This window comes from Homo sapiens, chromosome 3, assembly GCF_000001405.40.
Source record: "Homo sapiens chromosome 3, GRCh38.p14 Primary Assembly".
NCBI lineage: Eukaryota > Metazoa > Chordata > Mammalia > Primates > Hominidae > Homo > Homo sapiens.
In genome coordinates this window covers 121,612,936-121,626,462 of record NC_000003.12, presented here as the reverse complement: position 1 = coordinate 121,626,462, position 13,527 = coordinate 121,612,936, and the positions used below count along the sequence as shown (strand labels likewise).

Here is a 13,527-nt window from a genome sequence, read left to right as displayed (position 1 = left end):
AATCAGCATATTGACACACACTCTCCCTTGCTCCTCCACCAGCAAGTGATTAATTTTAAAGTAGATGCACAGTTCAAATCAGAACAATTAGTACCAGTGCAACTCTTATTCCAGAACTTTTGTTGGAGATACCAAAAAGCAGATTCTCTTTTTCTTTCTCTACTTGAACTGCAAAGCTGAAGTCCTAGGAGGTGCCAGCAATCACCAGAGACCACCGAGTGAGCACTATCTTACAATGTAGCCATTATTGAGGAAGTAGAGGTAAAAAATAGAAAGAAGAGATGTCATTTGGGGGCATTTTTTGAGCTGTTAGATCAAGCCTTACCTGAAGCCATTACCTTTAGACTTTTTAGTTACATAGGCCAATAAATTCCCTTTATTGTTTATGCCACTTTAGGTTGATTTTCTGTTGCTTGAAATTAAAGTATTGTAACTCATAAGAGTCTCACTAGAGTGGGAACCCCATAGGAGAATTCTATGAGTTCTGAAATATCTTCTGGTCTTTCCACCTGGGATGTGATGGCAAAGTCACCGTTTTCAAGTCTGGTTATGTGAGTAGGCATAGCCTAATACTCTTTCAACCTGACTACTTCACCTACAGTTTCTTGTCCTTGTTGCTATGTAGGAAAAGTGGTTTTTTTGAGATCTTAGAACTGTTTCCCTTTTTACTTTAAAAATCCATTCTAATGTGAGTATCCTTTAGCCCCAACTAAATTTTCTTTATTTCTTTCTGCAAGGAAATTAGCTCGTCCCAAATAATATCTGAGAGTGGTCAGTCATCATTGAATTGGGGAAAAACTTGAGCCAAAAAATAATTTATAGTATCTAAATTAAATTATTTACATCGGATTTTAGGCGTTTTTAAACAATACGATTCCTGAAGGCAGTGTGTTAGTCTTCATTCATGTTTCTTCCTAATACGTGCTTGGTTGGCAATCAGTGTTTATTTAACACTTGAATGCAGGCACATATACAAGAGAGAGAGTCTTGTAATTACTTTTTGAGGAAGACTGCTCAGGAATAAATAATGGAAAACATACAAAATGTTTTAGACATGATCAATACAAATAGATGCAAACAACTCTAACTCCCCAGTGCCAATTTGCAAATACCACATATTAGGAAGAAATTCAACAGTGAGATTATAGAATTATTGACCTAAATGGGCATCACAAATTCATGGTTCATAGTACCAACAGGTTTACCATGAGAAAGGATGCTACAGGCACTGGGATATGATGAATTAGGTGCCTCACTTCAGTATGGTACAAGCTGGTAGAAATTATAATACAGTTAAACAAACATGACCTACTGGGGAAAAGGAACAAGGTATTTCTGAAGGGAAAGGTTCTTTGATTTATACAGCAGAGTGTTTTTTGAACAATTAAATTAGCACTTGAACCGGGGAAATCAGTGGGCCAAATTCATTTAGAATTTCAAAATGCCTTTATCAAAGCAAAAACTGTTTTAAAAAATTAGTTGACTTGGGACTGAGGAGATTTGTTGGCCTCCTGTATCAATCAGAGTCACAGCTGGGAACAGGCGGCACTCTCAGACCGGGTAATTTGAAGAGATTTTTTTTTAAAGGAATGATTTACAGACACGAGAGCAGGGTATAGGAAAGCCACGAGATACAGTGTAGTATCCAGGGTGAGTAGCTACCTAGAGAGTTATGCCCTGGGCCTGAAGGAGAAGAAGGAAGGTCGTTGGATCCCACAGTGAGTAATTTTGTGTAGAGAGCCGCCTGATAAAGGCACCTTCAGTGGAGGGACAGCACCTGCTCAAAGTGTCACAAAGGGGAGGAACCATGCAGGGGGGAAGCCAGGAGAATAGATACTTCAACGTCATTCTTCCCTTCCTCCCATCTCCTGCTGACACGCTCCATTTACGTTAGCCCCACTGGAAGATGGAGGGTAAGGGAGCCAGCTGAGGCAATCTGTCCAGGCAGCCTCCTGGGGGACAGACAGGGTGGAGAAGGATGGAGAATGGGTCTTGAGAGCAAACAGAAGATATTCAGCACACATACACAGATGAACAGGCACTACCCTCCGGATTGCTATTTATGTATTTATAGGTCTGTCTTTTCTACTAAACTGACCTCCTTGAGTCAGTCTTATTCTCAGCAACTGTTCCCATGCCTAGTACCCTGCTTGGCACATAAAAAGCTCTTTAAGGCCGGGCGCAGTGGCTCATACCTATAATCCCAGCACTTTAGGAGGCTGAGGCGGGTGGATCACCTGAGGTTGGGAGTTCGAGACCAGCCTGACCAATAAGGAGAAACCCCGTCTCTACTAAAAATACAAAATTAGCCTGGCGTGTTGGTGCATGTCTGTAATCCCAGCTACTCGGGAGGCTGAGGCAGGAGAATTGCTTGAACCTGGGAGGCAGAGGTTGCGGTGAGCTGAGATTGCACCATTGCACTCCAGCCTGGGCAACAAGAGCAAAACTCCATCTCAGAAAAAAAAAAAAAAAAAAGGCCAGGTGCAGTGGCTCACGCCTGTAATCCCAGCACTTTGGGAGGCCGAGGCGGGTGGATCACCTGAGGTTGGGAGTTTGAGACCAGCCTGACCAACATGGAGAAACCCCGTCTCTACTAAAAATACAAAATTAGCTGGGTGTGACAGTGCACGCCTGTAATCCCAGCTACTTGGGAGGCTGAGGCAGGAGAATCACTTGAACCTGGAACGTGGAGGTTGTGGTGAGCCAAGATCATGCCATTGCACTCCAGCCTGGGCAATGAGAATGAAACTCCTTCTCAAAAAAAAAAAAAAAAAGGCCTTTAAAAATATTTGTTAAGGCCAGGTACAGTGGCTCACACCTGTAATTTCAGCACTTTTGGAAGCTGATATGGGAGGATCACTTGAGGTCAGGAGTTCAAAACCAGCCTGCACAACACAGTAAGACCCCATCTCAATTTAAAAATTAGTCAGAAGTGGTGATGCACATCTGTAGTCCCAGCTACTTGGAAGACTGAGGCAAGAGGATCACTTGAGCCCAGAAGTTCAAGGCTGTGATTGCACCACTGCACTTTTGCCTGGGCAACAGAGAGAGAACCTGTCTATAAAAAATGAAACAAAAAATTGCTGAATGAGTCAATCAATAAATGAGTGTTTACTTACCTCTCTGTGGACTCTCCAGGAGGTGCCTCCATGGGAATACCTCTTTTTCTTCCATTGCAAAAGGACCATTCCTCTCTCTTGTAACAAAGTGGCACAGATATTCCTCATCAGCACAGACACCTGGGAGAGCTGGGCCAGGCTGACGCTGTCCAAGAACCCAGCAATGTACTTCAAAATCTCCAGGGGCAGGCTGGTTAAAGAATTCTGGCTTTTTCCTCCATGACCCAAAAGATGGTTGTTCTTCCTTCCCTCGCTCAGCTCTGGAGCAACCTCCGGCTTAATGGCAAAGGTCTTGAGCTCCTGGCTATAGATTACTTTTGCCTTTTGCCCTGGGGGACGGAAATGGTTTTGAACAAATGTACATCCCAAGTAGGCGAGGGGGCATCGATGCTGGAACCAGCCATTGAGACATGACTGAATGTCTGTGTGGACATTCTTGAAGTGCAGGGGGAACTCATCCCTCCTGAAGAATTTGTTGCAAGTGAAAGTGAAGGCAGAGCTGCTTTTGTTGTGTCTCCTGGTCACACACTCGCTGTGGAGCTCCACGTGGAGTCCCCCTGGGGTGGCAGCGGTTAGGTCAGCCAGCACTGTCCCAGAGGAAAACTGTTCTGGCTCAAAGTTGTATGTTTGTGTGGCAAAATCCATGAACAGTCCATCAATGCTTCTGGATTCAGAGATGACGTGGCCTTTGAGTTCTCTTTCCAAAGCACACTGGAGGGTGGTCTTGATGAGATCTGATTTGGGCAGGTCCTCCACAGTGATCCCCAAATCTGAAGTATCCACTGCCTTGTGTTCACTTGGCTTACAACTCAACATGGCATCTCCAAGTCGAGCTCGCTTTCCACAGTAGCTCACAGGAACTTTGAAGGTGTAAACAGTCTTAACTTCCTGAGCCTCCAGCTTGCCATAAACAAAGTCTCTCTCCTTGGGTGTACAAGCAGGCATCTGACCAAAGTGTATCAGCATCCGCCCATTGTGCACTAGATACATGTTATAGTCCTTTGCATCCACAGCTGTTTTCAGTCTTTCCAGAACACCATCCTGCCAAGGGGCAAGCCCTGTGGTTTCCATGGCTGTACGAACGTCCTGCTGCTTCTGATTTTCCTGTGGTTCTTTCTTTTTGGGAGCGCCCTCTCCTTCTACCATGTTATGGCCACTGGAAATCTGTTCTTTCTCGGAGTCATTCTTGTTCTTGCTCTCACAGCTCGCTGATGAATTTGTTAAAGCAGAGGCTGCGTGCTCTTTGCTGAAAATATTTTCCCACTGGCCAAACTTGACCAGGTCCATCCCTTCTTTGGTTTTGGCTAGCACCTCCCGTTCTTCTTGACTTAGCTCTGCCATCTCCCCATTAGTTGCTGACAGACCATGTGGTACCAAACCGATATCCACTCCACCCACTGCTCCTCCCATTTCCTCCACACTGGTTTCACCATTCATAGTTGGTTCCTCCTCAGTAGCCTCTCTAGTTTCTGGGAAAAGTTCCACCATTTTCAAGGATCTGAAGAGGACCTTCTGATCCTGCAGGGCCAGGGCTGTGTCCAAACACTCCTCACTGGGGGTCTCTTTCATGATGTTTTCATGAAGGGTGGTTTCAGAGTCCACATTTGGCCAGCGGTTCCACTCCATGGAGCAGCAGACCACGCTGGCGGGGCACACCTGCAGGTGCTTGGCCAGTTTGTGGCGGGACATGGACAGAGGGCAGCCATATTCGGAGTTGAGGCACGGAACCTGCTCTAAAGGGCAGAGGAGCTGGTGCTCTGCCTCTTTGCACATGTGGAAGGTGGCACCACAGAGCAGGTGGCAGCTTATTACCAGGCAGGAGGTGTTGGGTTCCACAGGAATGTGGCAGTGGCGGTTGAAGCATCCCTCACAATGCCTGTGGTGCCCTGGCGGGGATCTGCGGGCTTTCCCCTGGACACACCAAGGACAGGGGGAAGAAAACAAATGAATACTGAGGAGAAGCTCTATGCATGTCTATGACTGTGTTTTAATTGACATATTTCCTGTTTATACCTGCTTTTTGTAGAAACCTTGAAATATATGGAATATCACAATCCCACAATCCAGAAATAACAACTATAAGTACTTTTTAGAATTTTCCAATAGTTTATTATATATATGTAGTAGATGTGTTTAGAATAGGAAAAAAAGAATTGAATATAATGGACTACACTGTTGACAATTGTTATTTTTGAGTTGTGGATTACAGGTTATTTATATCATACGGATAATACTATGAATACAACTTTTCATCCTGCTTTTTATCTTGCTATTAGAACATGAAACTAGATTGTTTTATTAGTTATTCTTTACAAACTTTCTTCATAATGGCAGTGTAACATTCCGGAATATGGGTGTGCTATCATTTAATCAACTACCACCAGAGTGCGGGCTGGGAGGACAGCAGCCATGTCTGGTTTTGCTCGCATTTATGTCCCTAGCATCTAGCATGGGACCTGGACCTTTGTGGGTATTCAATGCTTGCTGAATGAAGGAATTGCTAGCCATTTAGATTATTGCTGGCTTTTTGACTATTTTATTTAAATTTTCACTTAAACTCTTTGCTCAAAAATCCTTCTCAACTGTTTTCCCCTTACTCTGTGTCAATTTCTTCCAAGTTCTGTTCAGCATCTCTAGTTTGGAAAAAAGTTGATAAATATCATCAAACCATAAGAGCAAGTCTGCTAGCTGCTTGGGCTACAGGATAAATGAAGGAAGACCTGGACCTCTCAATGGTGAAGCTTCAATAAGCTCCTGGTGCTTACCATGGCGCCCCAATTTCTTCTTGCTTCTTAGCTCTACGGGAAAATATGAATATAAATAATTAGTAAGAAAAACAGTTAGGTTACCTATATTAATAGAGGCTAAAGAGACTTCACACACTATCTCATTTAATTCCTTCCACCATCCTGGAGGTGTCTTTATCTCCATGTTTGAGTCAAGGAAACAGAAGCTTGAAGGTAAGTAACTTGTCCAAGGTCACACAGCTGCTAAGTGATGGAATCAGCTTTGTAATCCAGGCCATGCTGGCCCATGTTATTTTCACTGACCCCCGCTGCCCTCTGATAGGGCATATTACCAATCATGGGATGTTAACTTCTGCTTCCTATAACTTTCTCCATTGTCTGCTGACAATTATCCTGGCATCCTAAACACTCTGCTACCCACAATCTGGCCTAGGTTACCTTCTAATCTTCTCTTCCACTGGGGCTTCCTGTCCACTTAGAGGTTAGTCTGAGATCTAACTTTGTCTGGGGCAGTGTATAGGTGTCTGTGAAATATCTGTAACATGCCATTTCCCCTGGTATATTCAGCTGTGCTAGAGCAGGGGTCAAAACCCCAAAGGTCCCAGAAGTTGACTGAATGGAGACTCTGGCAAGTGAAAGAGAAAATGCCCTGTCTTCAGGGAAATGAAATTTCTCAGCCCTGGTTAATTGATGCCATGTGGGAATGTGTTGCCAGACCTGGTTTTTCCAGAGACAGTGGGGATGCGGACTTTTGTGAGCTGTGATATGGTTTAGTGGTTAGAAGGCAGACTGCACAGGTTTCCACCCTGGAGCTACAAGTCAGTGGCTGTGAGACTTTGGGAAATTTACTTCACTTCTTCGCTCATCAGTTTCCCCATCAGTAGAGAGAGGATAATAATAGTACCTATCCCATAATGCTGCTGTAAGGAGTAAATGACCTAAATATACATGAAACTCTTAGAACAGTGCTTGTTTCACAGGCAGTGATCTATACATGTTTGCTATTATAAAGTAGTATTTTATATTTCATCACAATGCAAAATATTTTACTACATAATATATCGAAATAAAAATACTCTGAATTTTAAATGTTAACAACTAACTTAATTTAAAACAACACTATTTGAGCCAAGGAAAAATGTGAATGCTGGCCAGATAGGATCTGTAGGTTGCCAGTTTGCAATATCTGGTCTACAGAATTTGTAACATAATTTCAGCACAGTGTTAGTCTGTGATGGAGTGGGGAGGTTAGCATCCAAATGTCAGAAGATCCATAAGTTTAAAATTTGGCCAGGCGCAATGGCTCACACCTGTAATCTCAGCACTTTGTGAGGCTGAGGTAGGTTGATTGCTTGAGCCCAGGAGTTCAAGACCAGTCTGAGAAACATAGCGATACCCTGTATCTACTAAAAAAAAAAACAGTTAAAAAATTAGCGGGGCATGGTGGTGCACGCCTATGGTCCCAGCTACTTGAGAGTGACACTGACGTGGGAGGATCGCTTGAGCCTGAGAGGTCAAGGCTGCAGTGAGCTGTAATGACACCACTGCACTCCAGCCTGGGTGAGAGAGTAAGACCCTGTCTCAAAAACAAACAAACAAACAAAAAACCATTTTACTTTACTTTAGAATTTGCCAATTCATTGTGGGTAAAATTTCCCCCAACTTAAAAAAAAAAAAAAGACATTTCAAATATACAGAAAAGGTGAAGGAATACATACAATGAACACCAAAATATACTTTATCTAGATTCAACAATTGCTAACATTTTACCATTTTTGTGTCCTTTCTTTCTCTCCTCTCTGTCTCTCTCTCAATCTCTCCCTGCCCTCCAACCACACACGCACACACACACATACACACACACACACAGTTTTGGCTGAGCCACTTGAAAATAAGTTGCCAGCCAGGCGCGGTGGCTCAAGCCTATAACCCCAACACTTTGGGAGGCCCAAGCGGGTGGATCACCTGACATCAGGAGTTCAAGGCCAGCCTAGTCAACATGGTGAAACCCCATCTCTACTAAAATTAAAAAAAAAAAAAAAATTAACCGGGCACTGTGGCATATGCCTGTAATCTCAGCTACTCGGGAGGCTGAGGCAGGAGAATTGTTTTAACCCAGGAAGCAGAGGTTGCAGTGAATCGAGATCACGCCACTGCGCTCCAGCCTGGGTGACAGAGTGAAACTCCATCTCAAAAAAAAAAAAAAAAAACAAGAAGGAAAGAAAATAAGCTGCTGATATAAGACGCTTTATCCCTAAGTACTTCAGCTTGTACTTCCTAAGAATAAAGACTTATAATAATATTGTCTCACCTAAGAAAACTAAAAATACTTTTCTAATATCATGTAAAATGCCTATAGTCACATTTCTCCAGTTGTCTCCAAAATGTCTAGTATAGTTATTTTTAAATTTTTAATATTTTTATTTATTAAACATTTTTATTGATATATAATAGTTGTACATATTTTGGGGGTATATGCAATATTTTGATGCCTGTATACAATATGGAATGATCGAATTAGGGTAATTGGGATATCCATCACCTCAAACACTTTTCTTTATGTTGGGAACATTATAATTCTTCTCTTTTAGCTTTTTTTTGACAGAGCCTTGCTCTGTTGCCCAGCCTGGAGTGCAGTGGCACATCACAGCTCACTGAAACCTCCACCTCCTGGGTTCAAGCGATTCTTCTGCCTCAGCTTCCCAAGTAGCTGGGATTACAATCAGGCGCTACCACACCTGGCTAATTTTTGTGTTTTTAGCAGAGACAGGGTTTCACCATGTTGGCCAGGCTAGTCTTGAACTCCTGACCTCAAGTGATCCGCCTGCCTCGGCCTCCAAAAGTGCTGAGATTACAGGTGTGAGCCACTATGCCTGGCCTCTTTTAGTTATTTTGAGATATACAATAAATTATTGTTCATTATAATTTTTCTACTGTATTATCAAATACTAGAACTTATTTCTTCTAACTTTATTTTTTAAAAAATTTTGTTGTTGTTTTTTGTGACAGAGTCTCACACTGTTGCCCAGGCTGGAGTGCAATGGCGCAATCTTGGCTCACTGCAACCTCCGCCTCCTAGGTTCAAGCGATTCTCCTGCCTCAGCCTCCCGAGTAGCTAGGATTACAGGTGCCCACCACCATGCCCAGCTAATTTTTTGTATTTTTAGTAGAGACGGGGTTTCACCACGTTGTCCAGGATGGTCTCGATCTCTTAACCTCGTGATCCGCCCGCCTCAGCCTCCCAAAGTGCTGGGATTACAGGTGTGAGCCACTGTGCCCGGCCCAAAATTTTTTAATTGATACATAGTATTTGTGCATATTTATGGTGTGCATGTGATATTTTCTTATATGCATACAGAATCTGTAATCATCAAGTCAGGATATTTAGGTCATCATCTCAAGTATTTATCATTTCTGTGTGTTGGGAACGTTTCAAGGCCTCTCTTTTAGCTGTTTTGAAATACACAATACATTGTTGCTAGCTATAGTCACCCTACTCTGCTATCAAACACTAAAACTTGTTTTCTCTGTCTGTTCATATCCATTCACCAACCTCTCTTCTTCCCTCTCCTACTATCCCCTACACCCTTCCCAGCCTCTGGTAACTATCATTCACTCTCTACCTCCATGTGATCAACTTTTTTAGTTCTCACATATGAGTGAGAACATGCAATACGTGTCTTTCTATGTCTGGCTTTAAGACCTCTCATTTTTGAACAAGGATCCTTTTAATGTCAATTTGTTCCATTCGATTGCCAAGTCTTTTTAGCCTCTTTAATCTGGAACAGTCCCCCACATTTTCTTTTTCAGGAGAGACAGCCTTAAACCACAAGGAAATTATAGTCTGGTTCATTCATTTATTAGTTCCTCCACTCATTCACCCACTCAACAAACATTTGTTGATTACCTACTACTACTTGCCAGTAAGTGAGCATAAGGATCACCTGGACGGCTTGTTAGAGTCTTAAACACTATTGTTCATTAGAGTCAGCTGTGATGCTTGCTAAACCTATAGATCTGCACTGGTCAATATGAAAGTCACAAGCCACATGTGGCTATTTAAATTTAATCAAAATGCAATAAAATGAATAATTCAGTTTCTCAGTCACGTTAGCCACATTTCAAGTGCTCAATCGCCATTTGTGGCTAGTAGCTCCTCTTTAGGACAACACAGAATAGAACATTCCCATCTTCACAAAAAGTTCCACTGCTACAGATGCTGGCTGTACCCCTGGACCTGAGGGAATGATGGACTCCTGGAATTTACATGCTTAACACACTCCCCATCTGATTCTTATGCACATTAATAAATGAGAACCCTTGTTCTGGACCCCACTGGGGCTACTGAGTGTGAAAGAGGAATCACGGCAGAGTGCTCTATACTCCTAATAGCCCTAGTCAGGGGGCAGGTGAGAAATCGCAAGCAGAAGCATCAAACAGGGTCAGGGCCCAGCAGAAGATAAACAAAGGTGTTAAAGCCAGAGAAGGAGAGGAACAGAGCAGGGTGGCTGAGAGGGTTGGACTGTGCTATGATCTGAATGTTTGTATCGACCCCCAAATTCATATGTGGAAGTCTAATTCCCAGTGTGAGGGTGTCTGGCTGTGGGGCCTTAGAGAAGTGATTATGTTAAAGGAAGCTCTGCTTACCAGGCCTCTGATTTAATAAGACATGACCAGAGTGACTCCATCTTAAAGTGAATAGCGAGGCACTCACAAGACACCTGTAAGGTTAATACTTATGGTCTGAAGATAGCCACATCCCAAGCTGACCACCACTTATAATTACAGAATATTTATGGCCAGACAAAACTTCTCCCACCAAGCCTGCAGAGTGCCCAGATGTCCTGAGAGTGCAGCCCTTTTTACTTAAAGATAATGTTAATGAGCAAGCTGAGGTTAAAAGATTGATGGTGTTCAATAACACTGACAGCTGCTACCTTTAGTGAGCACATCTGCCCATTTCAAGTTTAATTTAGCTCCTTATAGTTTCCTTATAGTTTCTTTCTTTCTTCTTCTTCTTTTTTTTTTTTTTTTAAGACACAGTCTCACTCTGTTGCTCTGTTGCCCAGGCTGGATTGCAGTGGCACTATCTTGGCTCACTGCAACCTCCACCTCCCGGGTTCAAATGATTCTCCCACCTCAACCTCCCAGTAGCTGGGATTAAAGGCGCGCACCACCATGCCTGGCTAATTTAATGTTTTTAGAAGAGACGGGGTTTTGCCATGTTGTCCAGGCTTGTTCCAAACTCCTGACCTCAAGGAATCTGCCTGCCTCGGGTTTCTTATAAGTAGAGACACTAACAAAAGAGGGAGCGTTCCTCCTTCTGCTGCGGACGCCCTAGTCTGTAACAGAGTAGTTTCCAACAAATGTGCTACTTTTTTTTTTTTTTTTTTTTTGAGATGCTCTCTCTGTTGCCCAGGCTGGAGTGCAGTGGCACGATCTTGGCTTACTGCAACCTCCGTCTCCCAGATTCAAGCGATTCTCCTGTCTCAGCCTCCCGAGTAGCTGGGACTACAGGCACATGCCACCACACCCAGCAAACTTTTTGTGGGGGTTTCATCATGTTAGCCAGGATAGTCTCGATCTCCTGACCTCGTGATCCACCAGCCTCGGCCTCCCGAAGTGCTGGGATTACAGGTGAAAGCCTCCGCACCTGGCAAATGTGCTTCTTTCACTTGCCTCAAATCCTTTCCTGTGAGAATCCAAGAACCCACTCTTGGTGTCTGGGTCGTGACCCTCTTTTCCTGCAACATCCTTCTGGTGTCCTTGTATGGATGGACAATAAGAAGAGACTCCCACTCGGAAGGAAAACAGTCTGCGCAGCATCAGTTGGCTGACTTTGGGTAAGTGGGGCTCATTTTAGAGTCATTAAGCTATTCCAGGGGACAAGGATGCTTGTCCACTGCTACTTGAGTTTGAGGCCCAGGGCCCAAGGAGTTAGAAGCCCCAGGGTTTATTTGGAAAACGGATTTGGCCCTATGAGATGTTTGCCACTAACTCCTTGGGAGTAATCCACCTTGTGCTTTCTGTTGCTGGCCTGAGCGTCCTGCTTCTTGTCTCCTGTCGGCTTGCTGCCTTTGTTTCACAGAACCCCTGAGGCTGCCACGGGAAGGATGGCCCAAACAGTTTAGCATTTTCTTTTTCTTTTTTTTTTTGAGACAGAGTCTCACTCTGTTGCCCAGGCTGGGGTGCAGTGGTGCGATTTCGGCTCACTGCAACCTCTGCCTCCTGTGTTCAAGCAATTCTCCTGCCTCAGCCTCCTGAGTAGCTAGGATTACAGGTGCACACCACCACGCCCAGCTAATTTTTTTTTTTTTTTTTTTTTTTGAGCTAGAGTCTCGCTCTGTCACCAGGCTAGAAGGAATGTAGTGGCACAATCTTGGCTCACTGCAACCTCCGCCTTCCGGATTCAAGCGATTCTCCTGCCTCAGCCTTCCAAGTAGTTGGGACTACAGGCAAGCGCCACCACAGCCAGCTAATTTTTGTGTTTTTAATAGATAGAGGGTTTCACCATGTTGGCCAGAATGGTCTCGATCTCTTGACCTTGTGATCTGCCCACCTCGGCCTCCCAAAGTGCTGGGATTACAGACATGAGCCACTGCGCCCAGTCTAATTTTTGTATTTTTAGTAAAGACAGTGTTTCACCATGTTGGCCAGGCTGGTCTCGAACTCCTGATCTCAAGTTATCTGCCCACCTCGGCCTCCCAAAGTGTTGGGATTACAGGCGTGAGCCACAATGCCCGGCCACCAAACAGTTTAGCTTTTACTTTCCTTGCCTCTCCTCTGACTTAATTCGCCACTTGTCTGAGGGACACTGGAAACAAGAAGTCACTCAGGATCTAGTCTTTTTGTACCTTAATTATTGGAAGAGATGGGCAATAACTTCTCCATTACTGCAGTTACAAGTTAAAGTGTGGTATTTAACAGCCATATGTGACAAGATTAGAAACGCCCTTTAAGAAAAAAGCCTCTTTTATGACTTTCCTTGCAAAAAATTAGCCCCAGAATGGAGGACAGGAGACTTTTTCTTAACAGTTTTCTCTTGTCTATTAATCAGAAGATCATCTTTTATTGGCTGGTCACGGACAGCCGGGCCCCGCTTTCTAGACCCAGAATGTCATTTTTGCCCTGAAATAGTTTTGTCAGGGGATCCCAAGTTACAGCTTGCCCACTTCCCTTGTTTGGTTCATCATCTTTTCTTCGCTGGGTTCCTTGTGGCATTGCCTCAGGCGACCATGGGTCTGCTTACTTGTTCTTATTATCTGATATGAACAAGGGGACCCTACTGGCTCCAGTAGTTCCTCCCTTGGCCAAATTGGCACTAAGAATTATCTTGTCCCTTTCAGTGGAGCTCGGCTGGAGGCAGTACAATCTTGCGGACAAGGAGTGGTATTCAGCACCTTCAGTCCTGGTGGAGAACGCAGTACCTATCCTGAAGAGCTCACTGTTAGGGTGCATTTTAACCTATTAGGGAAGGGAAGGTTTAAACTGGATGGGCTTAAGAGAATTTTTTTTTTTTTTTTTTCTGAGACGGAGTCTTGCTCTGTCGCCCAGGCTGGAGTGCAGTGGCTGGATCTCGGCTCACTGAAAGCTCCGCCTCCCGGGTTCTCGCCATTCTCCCGCCTCAGCCTCCCGAGTAGCTGGGACTGCAGGCACCCGCC

The 13,527-nt window shown here is 44.1% G+C and overlaps 1 protein-coding gene across 1 annotated transcript in view, besides 2 other annotated features; it reads right to left on the bottom strand.

The window, feature by feature from the left end:
* Positions 1 to 13,527, bottom strand: part of FBXO40 (F-box protein 40) — a 36,917-nt gene that overhangs the window by 3,833 nt on the left and 19,557 nt on the right. The window contains exons 2-3 of the mRNA NM_016298.4: positions 5,885 to 5,917; positions 3,120 to 5,030 (exon numbers count right to left, since the gene is read on the bottom strand). Of these exons, the coding sequence (NP_057382.2) occupies positions 3,120 to 5,030; positions 5,885 to 5,887 (1,914 nt within the window). The 5' untranslated portion in view covers positions 5,888 to 5,917. The remainder of the gene's footprint in view (positions 1 to 3,119; positions 5,031 to 5,884; positions 5,918 to 13,527) is intronic.
* Positions 10,655 to 10,855: a silencer, noted in NCBI's record as "peak4795 fragment used in MPRA reporter construct". NCBI's record gives its function as "represses an SCP1 promoter by STARR-seq MPRAs in K562 erythroleukemia cells {active_cell/tissue: K562}" and the evidence as "EXISTENCE:reporter gene assay evidence [ECO:0000049][PMID:32103011]".
* Positions 11,231 to 11,731: an enhancer, noted in NCBI's record as "H3K27ac hESC enhancer chr3:121333579-121334079 (GRCh37/hg19 assembly coordinates)". NCBI's record gives its function as "activates a minimal SCP1, AML or CMV promoter by ChIP-STARR-seq in primed H9 embryonic stem cells {active_cell/tissue: H9 hESC(primed)}" and the evidence as "EXISTENCE:reporter gene assay evidence [ECO:0000049][PMID:30033119]".